Genomic DNA, 25,200 nt, shown 5'->3' on the forward strand with positions numbered 1-25,200 from the left:
CATAATAGTACTGTAACTTCATTTTTTAAAAAAGGGAAAGGAAATGTGGGCTCAGAATTGAAAAGTAACATGTCCACTGAGGTTCATCTAACTAAGAGTGGCAAGGCCAGGACTCAAATCCTGGTCACATTTCACTACACACAAAGGAACTACTATTTTTAGAGTAAATACTATGTGTCGGATACTGTACTAGGCACATTGCATATACTACCTATTTAACCCTCACCAACAACCCTACAAGATAGGTAATATCAACTACATTTTATACAAAAGGAAACTGCAGCTTAGAGACTTCAACGTAAATGATGTCTGAAGGTTCACGGCTAGTAAGTTAGGACTCCAACCTAAGTTTCTCTTAATTTCAAAGTTCTTATCTCCTTTATCTTCCAGTGAAAGACTGCTTTAATTTTAAGAACACAAACCAGCAAAATGTTAAATTGTTTTGTCTAAAATTCAAATTCTCCTACTCCAATATTTCACACTGCTTACCTGAGGACGACTGCTTGAGCCTTCTGGACCATCACTCAAAGGCAACATAGAATATGAAAGGGACTCTCCATCCTTCTTAGGATCTAAAGGACTTTTTGGTCTAGCAGGTAAACCTACTGAAAAATAAGACCACATACAGAACTGTTAAAGCAAAACATTGCCAGATATTTTTCTACTTAAATTCTTATCATATGATTTCTTACCTTTATCAAAAACTAGCTTAACTCTTCTAGTATGTCTTTTACGATTTTTAAATTCTCTTTCAAAATTCCCAAGGCTATGGGTATATTGGTCCCATACGATCTCAGGCAATTGAACAACTCTCTGTGGATATGGAAGCCCAATATCAGCCTGGAGGCAGGGGAGAAAAAACAAAATAAAGTAAAAGTCTAAATTTAATTAAAGAAATAATCCACCACAGTCAAATTTTCAGATGACTCCAAATCCAAATAATCAATGGGGCATTTCTATTCATGTTTAAATCCAAGAGACAATAAAGTTAATTAATATAGTCTAAATATTAAATGCTAAAGATGATAAGTAAAGAAATGAATTTAGCAAAACCTAAGTACGACTTCTAGTTGGAGGGCAGTGTCTTTTAAAATAATGATAGTAATATAAAATAAAACTAACAACCCATAAATGTTCTCTGCATTCCATATACCAATATATATCACCAGTTTCATTAATATGAACTAGGAGGAATTTTTTATATGTCCACTAAAACAAACAAGTTACCAGTCAACAACATAACTAATATGATAAACCTAAATAAAATAGGCAAATTGAGTTGGCATGAGCAAACCCAGAAAAATAGAAGAATCAATCTTTTAAATTAAACCTAGTAGGAAAATTTTTTTCCAAAGAACATAGGACTTTCATGGTAATTTTTTTCTTTTTTTTTTTTTTAAGTCCCAGACACTGATAACCTCATGGTTATTAAAATATCTTAATTTAATATATTTCCATGTAATTGTATAAAAAATTATTAAGATGGTCAACATCACATCTTTATTTCTGAAATAAAGTGAAAAGAAATTCCATTCTAGGCTGAGCGCAGTGGCTCATGCCTGTAATCTCAGCACTTTGGGAAGCCAAGGCTGGTGGATCACTTCGGGTCAGGAGTTCAGACCAACCTGGCCAACATGGTGAAACCCAGTCTCTACTAAAAATAAAAAAATTAGCCAGGTGTAGTACAGTGCATTTGCAGTCCCAGATACTCAGGAGGCTGAGGCAGAAGAATCTGTTGAACCTGGGAGGCGGAAGTTACAGTGAACTGAGATCAGACCCCACTGCACTCCAGCCTGGGTGACCTAGTGAGATTCCATCTCAAAAAAAAAAGAAAAAAGAAAGAAATGAAAGTCCGTTCTAAACTAAACCTGAAAGTGAAGAATCAGGAAATAATCAACTGCATGCAAATCTAGTAAATATGCCTAATTGCATCTTTTTGCCTACCCGGGAAAGTAAATGAAATGAAATTAAGGTTAACAAATTTTTCATTAGTAAAGTAAAAATTTCGTTTCAAATTTTTACTTTACTAACACCATCTGTTTTAGTTGAATCCATTGTAAATAACCATTATAAGTCTTATATCTTTTTGTACCAGTAAATTATTTAATAACAGCAATGCAGAATCAATAAACACTTAAAGGGGCCTCATTTTAACACAGAAGGTACACCAAAATTCTAAAAACCTTAGAAGTTTTAACAAATCAACATATAGGCTCTATATCTATTACGATATTCAATGTTTTCTAAAAGCATGAAGAGAAAGAAATGTTTACCAACTAAATAATATACCTAGGAAAATTCAAATAATAAATTAACACAACTAGTGAAATAAAGTCCCCAGGGCTGCTCTCCTAACACCTGGTAGACCACTTTTGTAACTCACTAAAAACAGGTAACTCATAAAGATACTAAAGTTGTCATACAAGATAAGGTTTCGTTTCTTTTTTAAGAAGAGGATTCTTTTTCATCATTTTTCAGTTTTAATCTTTTCATACAATGCTGATTAACATTATACCTCTCAAATTTAATGAACAATTAGTGGGTCCCTATTACAGCACAAATGCACATCAAGATCATCTCCATATTTACACACCAAGAAACTCATTATAAAAACCTGTATCGCTTTTAAGTGGTTAAGTATTAAACACGAAAGTTCTGTTTTCAGAAAAACAAAATTATGGAGAATTTTCCCACTTAAAAAAAGCATTTTAAAATTAAGTAAAATTTATACTTCTTCCTCATGGACTTGGCTATCGTAACTCTAAAGATATTTAAAATAGATTTTGTTTTGATCACCATTGTTTTCTCTCTCAAAATGCACAAAGGTACTAGTGTGCAAAAGTAGCCCAGAAACAGAAGTAGTTAATCAATTCTGAAGTACTTTTTTCTTTTAGCTTTATTAATCCCTAAGTCCTGAAACAGAGGAGGAAAAATACTCAAAGAAGGGGAAGATAACAGGAAAAGCTAGAAAAAAAATGGCTAAGGAATAGGACAAGTTCCCATACAAATATCCAATAAAAGCTTCTAGCTATTTTCATTTGGATATATTTTATTGTGTGCCTGGTGGAGGTGGAAGAAGTTGGTATCTTGCCTTAAGTAGTACGGCTAATTATAGACGAAAAAAATTAAACATTTTAAAAAGTATATACCCATAAAAAAGAATTAACCAAATTCTCTTAAGCTATTCCCAAATAGATCTTAGTAAATCTTAAAAACAGTTCAATGTATACCTTCTTCTGGAGTTTTTCCACAAATCCAATGGGATTTTTCAGTGCTTCTCTCTGGTGCCTGCCTAAACTTTCAAGGTCTTGGACTGCTTGAGAACGCTGAGCCTCGAGTACAGCAATCGTCTGTAATAGTCTCTGATAACTACAGAGACAAAGAAAAATATTTCACAAAAATTTTCTAGTAACAACAATAAATAAAAACTGAGTTCAAGCCATGATCTACTATTAAGTCACACAGTCTTTTAAGAGTTACCTGAAAGAGTTTAGTAAAACATATTACTGGGAATAAATGAGGTCTTCCTGAGTTACGAAGTACCTACAGAAAATAAGAGTTAGAGAAAGCAAAGCCTTCTTCCCCCATCTTAAGTTTTTAATTCTTGAACCTGAACAAGTACCAAAATAAAAGAGCATTTTGATCTTCCAACAATCAAAGTCGTTAAGAAACTGCTAGATAAAAAAAATATAATTAAAATGATAAAATCTTAATACTAGGAGGAATCACTCAATTCAGGCACTTGGTTGTACTCTGTTGAAATAGGGAAATCTGAGGTATGTTTTCTCGCCCAGAGACACATGACACTGTCACATAATTCCAATGTGATTTTAGTCTCATGATTTCCATTTGCTCTATTATACCCTCCTTCCTATTTTAAAGGTTTACTTTTCCATCAACAAATCTGCTGTTTTTTTCCTCTGCATGAAAGATAAAGACAAATGTTCAATTCTTAAGTATTAATCATTTAAAGAGAAGAAAGGCCATAAAGATATTTATACTTTCCTGCTTGCAAAGGTCCATTTGGCACAACAAACATATAGTTTTACCCACACAAATATATTACATGTCATTATCCTGAAATCTCACTACAATACATCTATTCTAATATTCTCCCTCTGTTTAAATTGTCCTGCCTCTCTAATATTTAACTTCACATTATCAATACACATAGAGAAATACATTAAACCCAAAGCTCCGAATGCTCAAATACATTTTGCAAAACAACTCAAGGAAAAGTCACTCCAAGTTCACTTTAAAATAACTGGTTAAATCCTTAAAGTATAAGCAAAGCACAATTTTTCTATATGGCTTCAGATAACTTTCATTTTGTTTCCTACTAGACTAAACTCCATAATGGCAAGTTCATCTGTTTTGTTCATTGTTTTGTTTAGCTAGTATGCAACATACTTCCCAGCACATAGATGTTCAATAAATATTTTCTAAAGGAATAGATATTCTGCGAATCTTTTAAGTTCTGAAGTAAGCAAACAGCAGAAGTATCAAAGGTGAAATACTGCAGTTTTGAAGTTCACAGGCCGTCATGGCAACATGATGTTCTCTATCAGAATACTTTTCACAGCCTCCTCTCTAAAACAAATCTTATTCTTGTTTTCAAGTCCTTGTTAACTAATCCTTGATGAAATTTTTAATAATTAAGGTAAAACTGCTAACATTGAAGGGCAAGACTCCTCTCCAGCTAGAGATATTTCATTTAAAACTAGAACTATGAGTGGGAAAGGTAGAGCTATACTAAGTCACTACTGGATAAATTACAGAGGGTAAATCTAAATTCACTTTCACTAAGCCTTCTTTTGCTTTGAGGTGTATGCAGTGTACAAATACTGTCTCAGCTGGCTGTTTCTACTAAGCAGGCTCACATAGGCTCAATCTTAGGGTGATGGTAGTGATCTGAATGCTAGAAGCTGTCCTCTCTATATAATACTCTTAACTGTCATACTTCACCTTCAGAATTCCTATCCCACCAGCTGAATACAACCAAAGACTTATATTGCCTCTATCCCTGTTTTAAGCAGGAGTTACACACTTCGGTATCACTTTAAAAACAACTGTGAATCTATTAAAACTTCAGTAAATGCTGTAGGTACAGTAACAACTAATAAGGCACAAGTAAAAATAGGGTTACAAAAAAACAAGCTTGAAAAAGGTGCTACAGTCAATTACATTGGCAGCCGTCTTTTTGTTAGGTTTGGAGCAAACAGACACTGGGAAGAAGGGCCTCTAATTTGAAGCCAACAAATTACCACAATTTTACAGTATGTAAATTTTTCCACAATAAATCTGACTTAAAAAAAAATTCCAACAAAGATGGCAAATAAAGTACAGTTCTTCAATTCTGCTTCCATTTAGTTAAGACAAAATGATTATCAGATTGGAAGGCCTATGATAAACATTGGTAAAGTCTTCAAGCTCAAAATAATGAAGACTCTAAGAAAATAGTAAATTCAAGTCTTCTATCCCAGATAATTGGAATTATTTCCCAGCATACTCAGACACTGCACCAGTAAGATTACCATATATATCCATGAGCAGATATGGAAGAAATTATTTAAACAAAACTGGGGTGACATCTAAAAAACAGTAAATATAGACAAATCTATTTTCAATCCTGCTCACCCACCTACACAAGCAAACTACAGAAGCTGATCCAGGCATAAATCCAAGGCAAGATTCAATTTTTCATTAATTCAACAATTATCTACTTAGAAAACAAAGCATTATACTAAAAGCATTAGTAATTATCAAGATAAACCAGGCATGGAGTCTAAGTGTAATAGAGGAGCTACAATTATACCACGGAGGAACTAGATGAAGTACAAATACGGCTGGATTGGTTGTGTTGCTGGGGATGGAGGATGGGTGTATGAGGGTCCACCATACTAGTCCATCTAGTTTTTTATGTTTTAAATTCTCCACAATGAATGTTTAAAAATCAACTCCAACTTTGACCCTTTTTTTTTTTTTTTTTTTTTTGAGACAGAGTCTCGCTCTGTTGCCCAGACTGGAGTGGGCAGTGGTGTGATCTCGGCTCCCTGCAAGCTCTGCCTCCCGGGTTCAGGCAATTCTCCTGCCTCAGCCTCCTGAGTAGGTGGGACTACAGGCACCCGCCACCACATCCGGCTAATTTTTTGTATTTTTAGTAGAGATGGGGTTTCACCATGTTAGCCAGGATGTTCTCGATCTCATGACCTCGTGATCCGCCCGCCTCGGCCTCCCAAAGTGCTGGGATTACAGGCGTGAGCCACCGCGCCCAGCCCTTTGACCCATATTAATGGGGGAGGTGCCGACTGTACTACTCCTTCTGGGCTGATCAGATCACAGCTGTCACTGCATTCAGCTACGCTTTAAGAAAGACAAACAGGTTCATAAATAGACAAGATGGATGAGAAACAATGTAAGATGAAATAACAATACAGTTGGCCCTTGAACAACACAACACAGTTCGAACTGCGTGGATCCACTTATACACAAATTTTCTTCTACCTCTGACATCTCTGAGACAGCAATACCAACCCCACCTCTTCCTCCTCTACCTCAGCCTACTCAACGTGAGGACAATGAGGGTGAATACTTTTAGGTTGGTCCACTTTCACTTAATGAATAGTAAATGTATTTTCTCTTTATTTTGATTTTCTTAATAACATCTTCTGTTTTCTAGCTTACTTTGTTGAAGGAATACAGTATAAAGTACATGTAACAGACAACATTTGTGTTAATCAACTGTTTATGTTATATAGTAAAGCTTCTGGGTCAACAGTAGGCTATTAGTAGTCAAGTTTTAGGGGAGTCAAAAGTTATACATGGATTTTCAACTACACAGGAGGTCTATGCCCAATCCCTGTGTTGTTCAAGGGTCAACTGTGGTGTCTAACATTTACTGAATGCGTACTACATGCCAGACAAATGTTGCATTTTAAATGTAATAACTCAATCCTCACAATAAATTTATGAGCCCAGTACCAACATTCTTAATTTTAAAGATAAGGAAACCAAGCACAGATTAAGTAACTCCCCAAGATCATACAAGCTATTTATGGTGGAGCTGCAATGTGAGGAATGGTTAAAGACCCTGAGAATATTTAGTCAAGAAATGAAAACCTCCACTAGAATACCACTTCCATTTTTACTTAACAAACAGCTATGCAGGAAAAAAAAAAATAGACTTGTTTTATAGAGTATAAAGGGTCAAACCAGGAGCAAATTGTGATAAAGACACAATATGAAGAAAAACCTTGTCTCAGTCAAAACTAATAAAAGATGGTAGGATAGCACCCAATCACCATAGATGTTCAGACAGATATTTAAAAGAAATTCAAGCACTAAAAACCTGAAACTCTTTAATTCCAATAAATATCCTACTTTTACTTTTGCTACTCACTGAACCAAGCAAGAGAATAGAATAACTCAAAAAAAAAATTACACATATTTTTGCCTGGATAAAATCATAGTTATACCTTTTCCGTAAGGATAGCTTTGTATTAAATCTATTAAAATTATTTGTTATTTATGTCTAAATCTAAATCTTACACAATGCTAACAACAGTGAACTTACTTGTGTCAAAGAATTAGGGTTTTCTTATTTTCGCCTTTTGAGACAGGGAGTCGCTGTGTTACCCTGGCAGGTGGGCAACGTCAGATCATGGCTCAATGCAGCCTCTACCTCTCGAGCTCAAGCAATCCTCTCACTTCAGCCTCCCACGTAGCTGGGACAGGTGTGTACCACCATGCCCAGCTACTTTTTAAATTTTTTGTAGAGAAAGGGTCTTGCTGTGTCGCCCAGGCTGATCTCAAACTCCTGGTCTCAAGCTTTCCTCCCACCTTGGCCTCCCAAAGTGTTGGGATTATAGGCGTGAGCCCCCACACCCAACCAGAACTGTTTTTACTTTTACATCTCAAACAGAAAGACATTTTAGCTTTATATATTTGGCCAAAGTATAAATGCCCCTTCAAGTCCTTATCTAAGTTATTTTTACTACTTTTCAATACCCAAGTCCTCTTGAATTATTTATATTCATGAATATAAAAACATTTATATGAAAGAGTATACAGGTAAAAATCCTGACATCTGAAGAGAACATCAAGGAATTAGCAATCTGGAGGTTGATTTTATTTATTTATTTATTTATTTATTTATTTATTTATTTATTTATTTGATGGAGTCTCACGCTCACCCAGGTTGAAGGGCAGTGGTGCAATCATAGCTCACTGCGGCCTCAAACTCCTGGGCTAAAGTGATCCTCTCGCCTCAGCCTCCCGAGTAGCTAGGGCCACAGGTATGCCACCATTCCCAGCGAATTTTGTTCTCTGGGGTTTGGTTTGGTTTGGTTTTTTTTGTAGGGACAGGGTCTCGCTTTGTTGCCCAGGCTCGTCTCAAACTCCTGGCTTCAAACACTCCTCCCGCCACAGCCTCCGAAAGTGCTAGGATTATAGGCATGAACCACTGTGCTCGGCCTATAAGTTAATTTTACTGTCCAATTTCTAGGCAGTAATATTACATACACAATAATCAGGGAGGGATGGAAGGAAGGCGTGCAGGAGGGAGGCACAGACAGGCAGACAGAAACAGAAGGAAAGATTTTATATTCAACTGCATCAGAATCTTTTTAAAAAAACTAGATTTCCATTTCTACTGTGGTAATAACCCTTAAGATTCCATGGGCATTTGTAATCTAAAAAAACTAATGGAGAAACATTTTTAAAAATCCATATCAAGGACACTCTGCCAAAATATCAGCCTGATTCTTCAAAACTCATTAAATAGTGTCATTAAAAACAAAAAAGAGGGCCAGGTGCAGTGGCTCACGCCTGTAATCCCAGCACTTTGGGAGGCCAAGGCAGGCGGATCACCAGAGGTCAAGGGTTCGAGACCAGCCTGGCCAACATGGTGAAGCCCCTGTCTCTACTAAAAATACAAAAATTAGCTGGACATGGTGGTGCATGCCTGTAATCTCAGCTACCTGGGAGGCTGAGGCAGGAGAACTGCTTGAACCCGGGAGGTAGAGGTTGTTGTGAGCTGAGATCATGCCATTGCTTACTCCAGCCTGGGTGACAGAGCAAGACTCCGTCTCAAAAAACAAAAAGAGGGACAGCTATTTTACAATAGGAGTCTAACTAAAGTTTTATTGGAACATAGCCACACTCATTTGTTTACATAATTTCTATGGCTGCTTTCTAGCTATAATGACAAAGAGGAGGAGCTGCAATAGAACCACATTATCCACCAAGCCTAAAATATTTACTATCTGGTCCTTTAAGAAAGTTTGCCAAGCCATGCTCTAGATTAAAGGACACAAGGACATGACAAGCAAATGTAATGCATAATCTTGGGCTAGATCCCCCCAGGGGGTTAAACAGCTATAAAGGACATTTTTGCAGATAAATGGAAAAATTTAAATATAGATTGTGCAGTATATAATTTTATTGTACCAATGTTAAATTGCTGGAGTATAATAATGGTATTTAAAGTTATACAGGGAAATGCCCTTCTTTTTAGGAGATATTTGCGGAAGTATGAGTGATGAGTCTACAACCTACTTTTAAATGACTAAGCAATTTTAAAAGTACATTGTACCAGATGGGAAGGAGAATAAGGGTAAAAGGAGAGAAAATACATTAGAAAATGTTAAATTGTTAACAACTGGTGAATTTAGGTGAAGGTTATGCAGATTCTTATCATATTACTGTTCTAGTTTTTCTAAGTTTTATACTTTTCCTAAATAAAAACCAAGGAACAAAAAGTCTTCATTATACTTTGCTACTCAAAAAGAGCAGCTTGATTTCCCTATGAACACTGAGCCTCATTAAACATACTGAAAACAACCAGAGGACATAAGGTGACGTAACGATAAATATATGTTATGCAGCACGCAAAATTTTAAAAATTATTTAGTGAAATAAGAGCTGTATAATAAGATGCTTTCTCTTCCTTAATGAAGGGCTCAAAGAGTTTACAGGAAGTGCAAATTCAGTAACTCACAAATAATCTCCCACTTTCTTTCTCTTTCTTTTCTTTTCCTCCCTCCCTCTCTCCTTCTCCCTCTTCGTTCTTTTCTTTCATTATAGATGGTGTCTCACTCTGTTGCCCAGGCTGGAGTACACAATCATAGGTCACTGCAGCCTCAAACTCAGGGCTCAAGTTGTCCTCCCACCCCAGCCTCCCAAGTAGCTGGGACTACAGGCGCATAGCACCATGCCTGGCTAATTTTAAAAACATTTTTGTAGAGACAGGTTCTTGCTATGTGGCTCAGGTTGGTCTTGAACTCCTGGCCTCAAGGGATCCTCCCAGGTCAGCCTACCAAAGTGCTGGGATTACAAGGCATAAGCCAGGCCCACTCACTTTCAATAAAACTCCAGAAGTCAATGGTGATCAAAAGCCTTTTATGATATTCTGTGTTAAGACATAAACTAATACCTCAGCTCTCAATAATATGTCTTCCAGGTATAAAGATCAACTCTGTATTGAAAATAAGTAAAACCCTGAATTTAAAATGAGCAAAGAAAAAAACAGGTACTTGTTTATTTCAGAAGTATGGACAAATCAGCAAGATACTAAGCCCAAAATCTAAGTGAAAGAATAAACTGACAGGGGCAAAAGGAGAACTAAAATTGCTTTTGGCTTGAGGACAGGTACTGAACCATGCAAGCTTGAGCTCAATTTTCTAGACTTCACTTGGCCAAGGAACGTAAGACAAAGCCACCAAGATAGATAGTCTCTCCCCATTAAGCTGGGACCCTATCCCTCACTCCAGCCCCCAAGGAGAGTTGCCTTGGGACTGAGGAAAGAATACATATTTACTGCCCCAAATTATATTAGCTGGGTGGTCCCCAAAACCTCAACCCATGACTACAGTTTAAGTCAATGGCCCTGGACTGGGACACAACTCCCTCCCACCTCCAACCCTGAATCAAGATACCCACAGAAGCAAATGCAATCCTGTCTAGAGAAATATGTTTTCATCCTGGGCCTCAAAGATAATCCATAAGTAATTTTCCAAAGAAAGTGAATAGCTCACATTAAAAAAGTTTCGCTCTGTCCCCCAGGATAGAGTGCAGTGGCGTGATCTCAGCTCACTGCAACCTCCGCCTCCCGGGTTCAAGTGATTCTCCTGCCTCAGCCTCTGAGTAGCTGGGATTACAGGTGCACACCACCACGCCTGGCTATTTTTTGTATTTTTAGTAGAGACGGGGTTTCACCATGTTGGTCAGGCTGGTTTCGAAATCCTGACCTCAAGTGACCTGCCCACCCCGGCCTCCCAAAGTGTTGGGATTACAGGCGTGAACAACCGTGCCCAGCCTGCTCACATTAAAAAATTATCAAGCATGCAAGAAAGCAAGACACAAAGAATAAGAATAAAAGCTGAGCTCAAAAATATTTATGAGGTATAGGAAACTACAAAAATTGAGCATGTAGCTTCTAAAAGGAAGCAAATAAAATATTTAAAAATACAGTAACTAAAACTAAAAGGTCAGTCGGTTCAAATTTTCACTTCTGGAAAACAGACGAGGCAAATTCAGAACAAACTCTTCCCTGAAGACAACCAATATACAGCTGGAGAAAATATTTGAAAGTTCTTAAAAGCATCAAAGAGCTAACAAAATTGTGAGTTATTACGAGGTAAAGATCCACAAGAAGATGGAAACCAGAAAGATAAAACATGTTTTTGGGGCACTTTTGCCTGGAGCAATTTATTGATCCAGAAGAGAGGACTGAGAGGCTGAGCAGTCCTTTTGACAGCTTAAAACAGTAGAAGATCAGAGTTGGAGTCTAGGGCCTATCAAGAGAGAACTTTGAAACCAGCCCAGCCCTTGGGTTGGGATCCTGAAAGGCTATACCTTAGAACTAAGGGTGAACAGGAAACAAACAGCTTTCTCAGAACAGACTAGAATATCTCAGTTTGGAATTAATTAGTAAAGTTGAAGATGTACATACCCTAAGATCCAGACATCCCATACCTAGGTACGACCTCAAGAAACTCTTGAATATACACAGTATAAGACATATGTTCATAGCAGCCTTATTAATAACCCCAAAGTCCATCTAATACTAATGCTTAATATAGCAATGAAAATGGACATCTATTTATATAAACACATACAAATATCACAAACATAATGTATTACAAATGAACAGATACAGTACGGTTCAAAAGCATGAAAAACTAAACTTTATTGTTAAAAGGATACACATATAGGTGGTTACAAGTTTTTAAAACAGCAAAGAATTATTTTCTCAAAAGTAAGATCATATTTACCTCTGGGAAGAGGAAAGGGGCAAGGTATAACTGAAGAACTATTCCTAGGAGACTTGTAAAGTGCTATCAATATTTTATTTCTTAACCTGGATAGTGATTAAACAACTATAGGCTATTTGATTTCATAATTACTCTATAACTGTGCATAAATACTTCATTAGTCTTATATGCATAAGATATTGCACAATTTTTTTTAAGGGAAAATAACTTTTCTAGGAAGAAAATGTTACAAAGAGATCACCTGCACTCTTTAGAACTTTTTAAGAGTCCTAGTTCAAGTCCCAGCTCTACCAGCAACTAACCATGGAACTTTATTCAAGTCATTAAACCTTGGGTCTTGCTTCTTTGTCTTTAAAATGAAAATGGACAAAATGGATAATTGCAAAAGCTTTTTTTCTAAGCAAAACATTCAAGGATCCTAAGATACTTGTACCACTCAGGTCACTCATTACTATATATTCTTTCTGAGTTGTAAATGGATTCCATTTATGTTGTATACACAAATACAGCATTAAGTCTCCACTTTCTTCATACAGAATCGTATCTGACAACTGGGCTTATTGGCTCTGCCCACAGCTAGAAGTATGCAAAGTTACTGCCTTCAAAGAGGAGAATATTTAAAAAGACCTATGTGATAAGTTTCTCCTACTTTATAGTGTCTACTCATGAGGCATAATAACTTTTCTCTCACAAAAGTCACTTCTAAAAGGAAATTATCAGGAATATTATGGCTGGTTTATGAAGAGACTGGCTGTTCCCTAGGTCACTAAACAGTATACTGCCTGAAGGCAAAAATTTTTAGGTACACCTATCCCTTTAGTTCTTAAAATGAATGTCTTATTTTATTATATTGTGTGATTTTTTAAGAGGAAAGCCATTTTTCTACATCTTTAATGCTGTCCCATAGCATAGTAAGGTTCAAGAAACAGAAAGTGCTCATAAAAATGAAAACAGAAACTACAAAAGAAAATAAGAGCTGAGTAGTTATACAGATGGATGACTCTTCAATGACGACAGTTCAGATATAGTTCTAGACTATATTTAGAGCACTGTTTTAATATTCTGTTTATGACATCTTGGGAGTTCTTTAAGTATGCTAAAGGAACATACAAGCCTCAATTCTTTTCAACACTTAACACTTAAATGAACACATAAAAAACAAACTTGCCAAATTTATGAACATGAAGCTGAGAAGGATAGCAAATACTATAGATTAAAAAAATCAGGATTAAGAAATAACAGGCAAGCTAGAAAACTAGACCAACAACAAGATAACATTTAACTACATAAACAAAAAATATGGCATTGAATTACAAAACAACCAGATAAGTATAGGATGGTATGAACTTGCCTTGACAGGCCCAAAAAAAAAAAAAAAAAAAAAAAATTGTGGTCCTCTCAGCTGGATCATTAGCTTACTATGAGGCAAAGTATAAAGTGCTGCTCAACAAACATTATTTGTAATATTATCTTGAACTTGCATCAACCCATTCAAACACTTACCATGCACATTCACTGTATGTTCTGTTACATCAACCATTCTAAAGGAGGCACATATAACCAACATGCAGCACTACCTTCAAGATCATTACAATTTAGGGAAGAAGATGTGACTGTGTGAACAGTAGTTGTTTATTTAAATATTGAAAAATAAGAAAGCTTATAAAATTCTTAGTGAATTCCTAGAATTTGCCAGAGTTTTAATGATTAATGTACTCTAAGAGAAATACACATATGCAAAATTTAACTAGCCATGATGAATGCATAAGCATGTTATGAACAAAATGATCATTTCAGGGAGATACAAACAATGCATCATATAAGAAGTAAAAAGCAAGTTGAATCCTGAAAAATAGATGGGATTTCAAAAGGAAAGGCAAAAAGAGGTTAAGACATTCTAGACAGAATATCAAATATTACACCTTATCAGGCTTTTAGTTTCCTCTTCTACAAAATAGGAGACTCTCTAAAATCTCTGTCCAATTCCAGAATCCCCAGGAAGTAGAGCATCTATATATTTTTTAAAACTCCACAGATTATTGTGAAGCATGCCCTTCACAAATTATTGTAAAGTGTACCATTCTAATGCAATACGGAGTAAATGTAAGTTTTAAACAATTAAATGATGATACAAGCAAACATTTGCATTTGGAAGGCTAATATGATCACAATGTATAAGATAAATTGGAGAGAGATGAAAATGGCAAAGGAAACTTCAAAGAAAGCTATGTAGCTGACGTATAAAATTACACTCTGAGCATCCTATTTAGCACCGAAGTTGTTAACTAACTGAAAAGCAGAAAACTTAAAGAAGAGGGTATACTGAAAAGCAAAAGAGGGTATACTGAAACTGCATTCAAGATACGAATACTTGCTACGTAGAAAAGAGAACAGACCTATTTCAAGTCATCCCACAGTCAAATCCAAATCACTGGGTAGAATTTCTGGGGAGGAATTTGAGGCTTAATACCAAGTAAAGAATTTCTGTTATAACAAACAATGGTATGTGCTACTTCATAAGCTAGTGAATTCCCTAGAACTAGATAAACTGAAACAGATATTGAATGACTGACCATCAAAGGATGCTGCAGAGAGGTGGTATATGAGATGAAAGTTTGGATTAGACTTTAATCAAAGTTATTCTAAATCAATGTTTCTAAAGATACTAGGAAAGAACATTAAAAAATTTTTCTTCAGTCTAAAAGGCTACATATACTTTATGATTCTCATTATATGACAATTCATAAAAGGCAAAACTACAGAGACAATAAAAACATCAGTAGTTCCTAGAAGTTCAATGGGGTTGGAGGAGGATTGCATACATGAAGCAAAGGGAATTTTTTTTCAGACTGGTGAGGTGAAACTATTTCATATAACACTGCAATGTTGGGTATATAATACCATGCATTTATCAAAACCCATAAACCTTTTAAGCACAAAGAATTAACCTTAATGTATACAAATTTTTTAAAAGTTATTTACAAGTTCAGGAATAAAAGAATCTGACTATATTACGAATGTCTCAAACAACCTCACTGAGGGGCAGGAAGAAAAGGCGCTGACCTATGTAATTGGAAATGAGTGGCATCTGTAAGACCAAAGGCAAGAGGAACTGTACATAGCACTGTATTCTAGTTGATAAGAGTTTTTCACAATTCACAATTAACAATTCTGATACTGATGTCCATATATAATGAAATTAAATAATTAAATAGTTGACAGGTGGCCAGGATTGCCACTTCTGGAGTGGAATTGTACAGATAAACAAGGGAAGGAGGCTAGAATGATCCATGTGGTGATGGATTAGAGTTGGGAGTCATTACATGAACTCAGGTTTAGCTCAGTTTATAGATATGTGCATATACATGGGTTCATATACACAATTTTCTTGCTCTATCAGCTGAGACAGCTAAATAAAAGCAACAATAAACACATTTGGCACCCAAATTTTGGTTTCTAATACCATTCTCCAATAGGAACTAGGGTTCCCTGGACAGATGGCCGATTCTAGAACTAAGGGAGGAAATATACAAAATGAGCGTCAAGTATTTTATAGTGTCAAAAAGTAAGAAGCACTCAAAAAACAACAAAAAAAGACATCACCTTGATGGGGTTATATCACAGGGACACAAAAGCCAATAGAAAGGTTCCCAACAACCAAAAGCTGGAACAATTTGAGCAACAATAAAGCAGTACCACATTATAATCCAAAGTATAAAACTGTCAGTCCACACTGATATAAATAAATGAGTAAATAAATACATGAGGAAAAAGAGAAAAAGTCTCCCTTGAAGAATTCCAAATAACTTATGCAGACACTCTGCCCTCAAGAATAGGGAACGCAGCTCCCCATTCCTTCAGTGTGGCCTGTGCATAGTGACTTCCTTCCAAAGAATACAGTATGAAAAGGGGAGGAAAAAAGAATAATTACAGTGGAGAAACCTGACCAACACTACCCTCAGCTGGGTGATTAAAGTCACATCAATAGCAATAAATCTTATTGCTAGTATGCACCCTGGTAGCATGTGATAGAAATGGCATTTTACTTCTATTGTTTTCCTTTCAAAAACCCATAACCCCAGTCTAATCATGAGAAAAATATCAGACAAATTCAAATAGAGAGGCATCTGTAATACCTGACTAGTACCCCTCAGAACTGTTCAGATCAACAACAAGGCAAGTCTGAAAAACTGCTCCAGCCAAGCGAAGACTCAGGAGACATGAAAACTAAATGTAATGTGGTATCCTACATGGGATTCTGGAACACAAAAAGGACATTAGGTAAAAACTAAGGAACTCAATAATGTATAAAGTTGAGTTAATAACAATGTTGATTCATTAATTGTAACAAATGAACCATACCATACTACTGTAAGATAGTAATAATACAGGAAATTGGGTATAGAGTATACAGTAACCCTGTAATATGTTCTAGATATTTCTGTAAATCTAAAACCATGCTTTTTTAAAAGTCTATTTTTAAAAATAAATAAATACAGTCGACCCTTGAGCAACAACAGGGGTTAGGAGCACAGATGCTCCCACTGCAGTCTAAAATACTTTTGACTCCCGAAAACTTAACTACTAAGACTACTGTTGACCCAGAAGCCTTACCATATAACATAAACAGTCGATTAACAGATATTTTGTATGATACCTATAATACATACTATATTCTTAAAATAAAGTAAGCTAGAGAACAGAATATGTTATTCAGAAAATCATAAGGAAGAGAAAATATATTTACTACTCATTAAGTAGAAGTGAACCATCCTAAAGGTCTTCATCTTCATTATCCTCACATTGAATAGGCTGAGGAGAAGGAAGAGGAGGGGTTGGTCTTGCTGTTCCAGGGGTGTCAGATGCAGGACAAAATTTGCACATAAGTGGACCTGCGCAGTTTGAACCCATGTACTGTAAATATAAATTTATCAACCTTCCTTGTAGCCACTATTGCTTTATCTTGGAACAGCAAATGAGAAAGTATTTAGTTAAGGTACATATTTAAGATTGCACCAGTTGAAATATCACAATTTAAGAGATCCCGTCTGATTAATTTAAAATTTACCTTTTTATGTTAGCAAATTTATTGCCATTTATTTCTGGTTAAACATTAAGACATAGTGCAATCATGCCACCAGTTCCGGAACTCAACAATTTGTAAATAATTCTCAGCTGCTATCTAGACTCAATGGAGAGATTTATTCGAAATACCTTTTTAGATATTATCTCTATTTTACTTAAGAGTGACAGTTGCTAAAGCATTTCCCATGTTGTAAAACCTTTCTCCAACAAATCTAATCTTTAGACCTACTGTAGTTATATAACTTTAGCTATTAAGTAAGTACACTTCTACTGTTTCAATTTTAGTGCTTTAGCACAGTAGTTAAACCGGCCCCATTATATCTGGCACAGCTACTATATATTCTTAATACATTCTGATGAGGAGGCTGGAGAGACGACAAATTCAAGGGCAACAGTTCCTTCAATTTAGTAATGGTAGTCCTTTTATAGAATCATATTAGACCAACTTAAGCATTTACATGACAGTGGTTTTTAAAGAGTATTTAAATAAATAAATAAATAGTAAAAGTAGTATTTAGGTATATGAGCATCTGGTAAAGGCTCAGTTTATATAAATTTTAAAATCACAAGACAAAATTAAAACTTGTAAAGAAATTATTATATAGCTATTTGCTACCTTATATTATTCATTATACTTTTACAATTCTATTAATTTTATTCTTTATACTGGTATTACCTAACTTATACACTCATTCCACAAATATTTATTGAATATACATTAGTTATGATTACATATGTAATCATACTTATACTTGATGAAAAACCCTTTGAAATAGGTATTATTACCACTTTACAGATGACATAAACAAAATTCAGAAAAGTTAAGTATGGGTGGAAGATTCTTGCCATACAATTCTTTTCATAATATAATTATTTACAAATACTAATTTATCTGTAATACTGAGCTCAGATTTTATACATTGGGACAGTTAACCTACATCTAAAACTCAGAAATGATCCAAAACCTAAATGAGGCCTTAATTTATTGCCTTACTTTTAAATACAGCAGAACGAGTAAAAAAATTAGTCTGTTTAACAACTCTTCCTGCTCTTATTCATCTGCTAGTACAAATACTAATTCAGTAACAGAATACAAAGGCAGAGAAAGAAGAGTACTAGATTTTTAAAAAAATTAAATGTATATATATCAGAGTAGACAATCTTCTAACAAAACATGTCATCCATAATTTAAAAGTTTTTATAACCTCAAACAATTGTACAAAAACACCTGCCTCTTTCCAAAAAGTCTTCATTATATATGTTATCTATGTTAGCCCTCAGAAAGAAGTATATTTTCTAATGTGTTTCAGATGTTATTTTCTTTTGCATGAAAGGTTTCATCAACAATCCTGAAAATATAGCCATTCTTTCAATGGCCTCTATTACAATGGTTACCAGGTTTCTCTTCCCAGAATCTATCCTAATTTGGAAGGTAGACTACATCCACATTAGAGTGCACAATATGTATATGTCCCTATAAGACTTAAAAAAAAAAAATCATGTTTGACAGCTAAGCTATATTTTCCTTGTTTTGTTTATTTGGCTTAAAACTGTAAGAAAAGATTAGCCACTTGGTGTGGTTTACATAGAAGGCTTAAATAAGCCAAACATATACTCAGGCTAAAGTAAAGATGTTTAATATCTTTTTTCTTAGTTCTAAATACCTGAAGAACCAGCAAGATTTCACCCATTTATTCATTAATTCATTTTTACCTATTAAGCTAAGGTACGGTACTAAGCACTGGAGATATAACAGTGAACAAATAGACAAAGAACTTTTCCTAACAGAGGATATCAGTCAAGGGAGAAAGCTGAGAAAATTATATTTATTTGCACAGTTAAGTAAATAAAATACGAGGTGTTAAGTGCTAAAAAGAGAGAAGCACATAATTTAGGAGGGCATCAAACAAAAATCTCTAAGGGTCAGGGGTGGCTTCCCAAAAGAAGTTCAACAGAGACCAGGCAGAAGAAAGACAATTAGCTAAGAAAAGGTAGTAAAAGGGAAAGGGTTCCCGGGGTTGTTCCAAACAGAAGAGATAACATGCAGAAACGTTTTTAGGCAAAGCACAGGACTTTAGGACCACAAACAGCTTTGGCGTGACTTGGAGTGAAAAAAGAGTTGAGACTCAAGAGGAAGAAAGGAATCAATTACACAGTGCTCTATAAAACCAAAACTGTACTCAGACTAGACTAACTAGGACGGAGTTTTAAAGACAGGAATCAATTACACAGTGCTCTATAAAACCAAGACTGGACTCAGACTAGACTGAGTTTTAACCTGAGTTTTCAGTCAGACTAGGATGGAGTTTTAACCTGGAGAATCACAAAAGTTTTGCATTTTACAAAGATCATTCACATCAGAACAAGAAGAATGGATTAGAATGGAACAAGACTCTAGAGAAAGACCAATTAAGGAGCTGTTGTGATAATCCAAGAGAAAGTGGACTGTATTAAGGTAGTGGGGATGGAGATAGAAAAGGTAAGTAGGGTGAATTTGAGAGCTTTGTAAGATAGGCCCTATAGAACTTGGTGACTGTCTAGACAAAAATAATACCACAGAAACTGGAAAAATGTTTCAAGAAGGAGGGTATGACCTACCAAACCGACTACTAATGAAGAATCTAAGGTAAAACAATGAGATGTCTCCACTGGACTTCACACAAGGAAATCACTAGTAAGTCATTTCAGTGGAGTGATGAGGGTCAAACCTAGATTTCAATGGTAAGAGTAAGTGAAAGATGAACAAAACAGAAATAGAAAATAGAATCAAGTTATTCAAGAAATTGCGATGGGAAGAAAGTAAATAGAACAGTAGTTGCAAAAGTATACAGGATATAAAAAAGAGGATTTTTTAAATAAGAAAAAATTGTATCATGTTTAAATGCTGATAGGAACAGGGCCAATAGAAAGGTTGATTTTGAAAAATCAGTGAAGAGTAAGAATACAGCAAGGTCCCAAAAGGGATAGGACCCAATTCACTGGCAGTAGGCTTAGCTTAGAGTAAAAGAGAGAAAGAGATCCCTTCATTTCCCTGTTTAAAAGACGGTTTACATTATCATCATCATTTTGCATTGAAAATTTAGTACTTATAAGATACTATGCTAAGCCCTTTACAACCTCTAGGAGTCCTATAAGTATTACTGCCCTCACTTTATAGATTAGGAAACCAAACTTCAAGAAGGTTAACTAACCTTGCCTAAGGTTTCAAGGGTGGATTTGAACCCACCTAAGCCTGACTGCCAAGAGCATAATCAATAGGCTATATACTCTCAGGAAGGATGGGGACAGATACAGACAAATTAGGTTTGGTGGCAAGATGTTGGCTAAGGAAGTTCCGCTCTGCTAATCTGCTGAATGAGGATATGGCAGCTTAATGAAAGTGAAAAAGATTTTAAATAAACATAAATAAAAAGCTACGTAAGAGAAACATGGAAGGTACAGGGCACCTGAGAGGCTCCCAACTATAATTGGAAACCATGCCTTTAGAGTTGTAGCAATATGCAGAAATATGTGATTTTTCCTCAACAAGAGCAAAGACAATGGGAGAAAGGAAGAAAAACTGTTGGCAAGAAAGCTATGCACTTTAAAGAACAGGCCATCTAAGCCACATAAGTAAAGGAAGCAAGTATAGGTAAGGGGAAATACAGAAAAGGTGCAGCTGTAACAAAATAAATAACTTCATGTATTCTTCTATGTATTTATCTCTCAATTATTACTTGTCCACCTATTCAGAGTAAACCAACAGCAGTACAGAGTGCATATTTGTTTGATTGATAAAATTAAAGACTCTATAATCTAAAGCATTGGGGTTGACCACAGGTAATTACTCTAGCACTGAAATATTATACTTGGAATCCTAAATCATAATGCCAGTGACCAACCAGAATTTCAATTATCATTAAGAACACTAAATAAGAGAAAACAGATGCAGGTCCAGACACAACCATTATTTTTACTGATTTTTTTTTTTTTTTTTTTTTGAGACTGAGTCTTGCTCAGCTGCTCAGGCTGAAGTGCAATGGCGTGATCAGGGCTCACTGCAACATCTGCCTCCTGGGTTCAGGCAATTCTCCTGCCTCAGCCTCCCCAGTAGCTGGGATTACAGATGTGCATCACCATATCTGGCTAATTTTTGTATTTTTAGTAGAGACGGGGTTTCACCATGTTGGCCAGGCTGGTATTGAACTCCTGACCTCGTGATCTGCCCACCTCGGCCTCCCAAAGTGCTGGGATTACAACATGAGTCACCACGCTCGGCTACATGAGTTATGAGTATGATGAACAGGGTACTGCAATTTTTTTCACTCTATCTTCAAGGCAGTTTTAAATTAATTAGTCAGACCTATGACTCTGAACTTAAATAAAAATTGCCATATCTAGCAGTGAAAAAAAAAAACTTCTGAAAACCAGAACATACCTATTTCTTTAAGAACCTGTCAACTTTTTTTTTTTAAACAGAGTCTTGCTCTGTTGCCCAGGCTGGAGTGCAGTAGGATACGATCATGGCTCACTGCAGCCTTGATCTCCTGGGCTGAATCAATCCTCCCACCTCAACCTCCCAAGTAGCTGGGACTACAGGCGCAAGCCACAATGCCCAGCTATTTTTTGGATTTTCTGTAGAGTCAGGGTTTTACCATGTTGCCCAGACTGGTCTTAAACTCCCGGGCTCAAGTGATCCTCCTAACCTTGGACTCCCAAGTGCTACGATTATAGGAATGAGCCACCATGCCTGGCCCCAACTATTAATACAATAGAAATCATACCACAAAAAACCATACCTATGTTTTCTTTGCCTCAATAATTTTCTTCCAAGCAAAGTGAAGATTGTATTTCTCTTCCACCTGCAAAAGTAGGGTCATGGGAATCTCTTAAGAATAAAAGAAAAAGCTTCTAAGGGTCAGGTTTCCCAAAGCGGTGTAAGGACTAGATTATGTGCATGAATATCCCCAAGATGCAAAGTTAAACATCCGGGTGCCCATTTCCTGTCCCTAATCTACTAAAACACTCTCTAAATGCAGACCTAGGAATCTACATTTTTAACAGGACAAGGCAAAATTTTTTTATACTCAAGGTCTAATACATAAGGTAAGTTTTATATAAAGATTATGAGCCACTGATTCGAAGAGCTTCTTAAAAAAAAAGAGGAATATTTCAGATCTCAGATCTTATTTCTGACATAAAACTTTTAACAACAAAATTATTATTTCCGACAACAAAATTAAACTAAAATATCAAGCAGGCTGGGTGGAGCAGCTCATGCCTATAATCCAAGCACTTTGGGAGGCTGATGCAGGAGGATTACTTGATGCTTGGATTTTGAGACTAGCCCAGGCAACATAGTGAGAACCCATCTCTACAAAAAAAAAAATTTAAAAATTACTGGGTATGGTGGTCCACACCGGTAGTCCTAGCTACTCAGGAGGCTGAAGTGGGAGGATCGCTTGAGCCCAGGATTCAAAGCTGCAGGCTGCTATGTCTCCAATTATGAGTAGCCACTGCACTCTAGCCTAGGCTAGAGATATTGTAGTGGGACGCCGTTTTAAAAAAAATTGGTAATAGAGATGACTGAGGCTTCACAGATTAATTAAATTAGATTCTCTAAGGCAGGGCTAGGCATTCATATATTTTTATAACATCCCAAGTGATTCTAATATGCAGCTAGATTTGAAAACCACTACACTGTATCATTCTTAAAAAGAAATAGATTCATTAAGAATTACTAGTAATAGAGAACAAACTGCTATTCATAAGTAAAATGAAAGAATGAAATAACTCTAAACATTAAGGTACAAAGATAATATATAATTGCAACACAATTTTTTTAAAGTATTTGCAGGCTAGATTTCTAAAATCTTCGTAAATCAAGAAAGCAAGAATTACCAGCATCATCTACTAGAAGTAATATTTCTAGTAAACTACGTGAGAACAGGCAACTCAAGCATCCCCTATGTTCTAAATCCATTCCCTTAGATCGATAACCTTGTTGAATGGCTGTATACTTTTGAATGTAAACATGTTTAAATTAAGGCTTACCACACCTCAAAATATTTCAATAAGCATTTGATAGTATCAGTTTACACTTAACCATATTCTTTTTCCTTTTTTTCTCTGCCACTGTAGTGCAAAATACACTTAACCACATTCCAAAGTTTCCTATGTTGTATCTGATAAAATTTTCTAAAAGAATGCTTGTCATTGTTTATAGACCAGCTCCATTATCCATTTATACACGTATCCCTGCCAACACACAAATTTTTTTAACTGCAAAGTGTAGGAGAAAATGTTTCACTTAGAAGATTTTGACTGAAAAAAATCCTAAAGAGGGGCAGAGCAAGATAGCCGAGTATAAGGCTCCACCGATGGTCCCCCCAAAAAGGAACACTAAATCTAACAACTATCTACCCAAAAAAACAGAACCTTCATGAGATCCAAAAATCAGGTGAACACTCACAGTACTTGGTTTTAACTTCATGTTGCTGAAAGAGGCACTGAAGAGGGTAGGAAAGACAGTCTTGAGTTGCAGATGCCACCCCTTCCCTATCCCCCAGCAGTGACCACAAGGCACAGAGAGAAAATCTATGATTAATGAGAGAGAGGGCACTCATCATGAGACTACATCAAATTCCATGCTGCCATCACAGTAGAAAGCAAAACCAGGCAGCTAACGCCCGCTCACACCAGCCCTAGCCAGAGGGCAATTGTTCATTCAGTTCCAGCAACCCTGGCCACCTGGACTAAAGTGCTCTAGAGCATTAAATAAACTTGAAAAGCAGCCTAGGCCACAACTGCAGTTCCTAGGCAAGTTCTAGTTGTCAGCTGGGCTCGAAGCCAGGAGACATGGGGGGCATGTGACCTACTGAGACTCCAGCCAGAGCAATTAAGGGAGTGCTTGCACCACCCTTCCCCTAACCACAGGCAACACAGCTCGTGACCCCTTTCTTTCACTTGAGGAAAGGAGAGAAGAGTAATGAGGACTTTGTCTTGCATCTTGGTTATAAGCTCAGCCACAGTAGGATAGGGAAACAGACAAGGTCATGAGGCCCCCATTCCAGGCCATAGCTCCCAAATAACATTTCTAGACACACCCTGGGCCAGAAAGGAACCCACTGCCTTGAAGGGAAGGAACCAGTCCTGGCAGCATCCATCATTTGCTGACTAAAGAGCCTGTGGACCTTGAATAACCAGCAGTGACACGCAGGTAGTACATCATGGGCCTTGGGTGAGACTCTGAAATGTGCTGGCTTCAGGTGAGACCTAGCACATTCCCAGCTATGATGGCTATGGTGAGAAACTCCTTCTGCTTAAGAAAAGCAGAGGGAAAAGCAAAGTGGACTTTGTCTTGTACCTTAAGTATCAGCTCAGCCACAGTGGGATAGAGCACCAAGCAGGCTCTTGGGGTCCCCAATTCCAGGCCTTAGCTCTTAGATGGCATTTCTGGACTTGCCCTGAGCCAGAAGGGGGTCCACTACCCTGAAGTGTTACTCCCCAACCTGGCAGCATTGACTACAAGTTGACTGAAGAGGCCTTGGGCCTTCAGTGAAAATTAGTGGCAGCCTGACAGTACTCCCCACGGGCCTGTGGTGATGGTGGCCATGGGGTGAGGCTCCTCTGCCTATGGCATGCAGGGAAAGGTGGGAAGCACCATGTCTCATGGTTTGAGTGCTAGCTCGGCTGCAGGAGAATAGAACACCAGGTAGATATCTAAAGTTTTTTACTTCAGTCCCTGGCTCCGGGATGGCATCTCTAGACCTCCCCAGAGTCTCAGGGAACTCACCGCCCTGAAGGGAAGGACACAAGCCTGGCTGGGGTTGCTACATGAATATAAAGCCCTAGAGCCTTGAGC

The 25,200-nt window shown here is 36.6% G+C and overlaps 1 protein-coding gene across 22 annotated transcripts in view, besides 1 other annotated feature; it reads right to left on the reverse strand.

Annotated features, from left to right (window-relative positions):
• The window catches only part of ZZZ3 (zinc finger ZZ-type containing 3), a 120,983-nt gene that overhangs the window by 18,871 nt on the left and 76,912 nt on the right, over positions 1-25,200 (reverse strand). For 11 of the 22 annotated variants that reach the window (NR_164775.1, NR_164776.1, NM_001376151.1 and 8 more), the window contains 3 exons: positions 3,231-3,369; positions 693-840; positions 490-602 (listed from right to left, as the gene is read on the reverse strand). Coding sequence is in view for 19 of the 22 variants with exons in the window: in NM_001376151.1 (NP_001363080.1) it covers positions 490-602; positions 693-840; positions 3,231-3,369 (400 nt within the window). In the remaining 3 variants the exon portion in view is untranslated. Of the gene's footprint in view, positions 1-489; positions 606-692; positions 841-3,230; positions 3,370-3,480; positions 3,544-25,200 lie in introns of those variants that run through there. The other 11 variants (XM_005270729.5, NM_001376147.1, NM_001308237.2 and 8 more) reach the window with 3 other exon arrangements.
• Positions 13,131-13,250: an enhancer, noted in NCBI's record as "active region_1215". NCBI's record gives its function as "activates an Ori minimal core promoter by ATAC-STARR-seq in GM12878 lymphoblastoid cells {active_cell/tissue: GM12878}" and the evidence as "EXISTENCE:reporter gene assay evidence [ECO:0000049][PMID:35858748]".

The sequence above is a fragment of the Homo sapiens genome, chromosome 1 (genome assembly GCF_000001405.40).
Source record: "Homo sapiens chromosome 1, GRCh38.p14 Primary Assembly".
Classification (NCBI taxonomy): domain Eukaryota; kingdom Metazoa; phylum Chordata; class Mammalia; order Primates; family Hominidae; genus Homo; species Homo sapiens.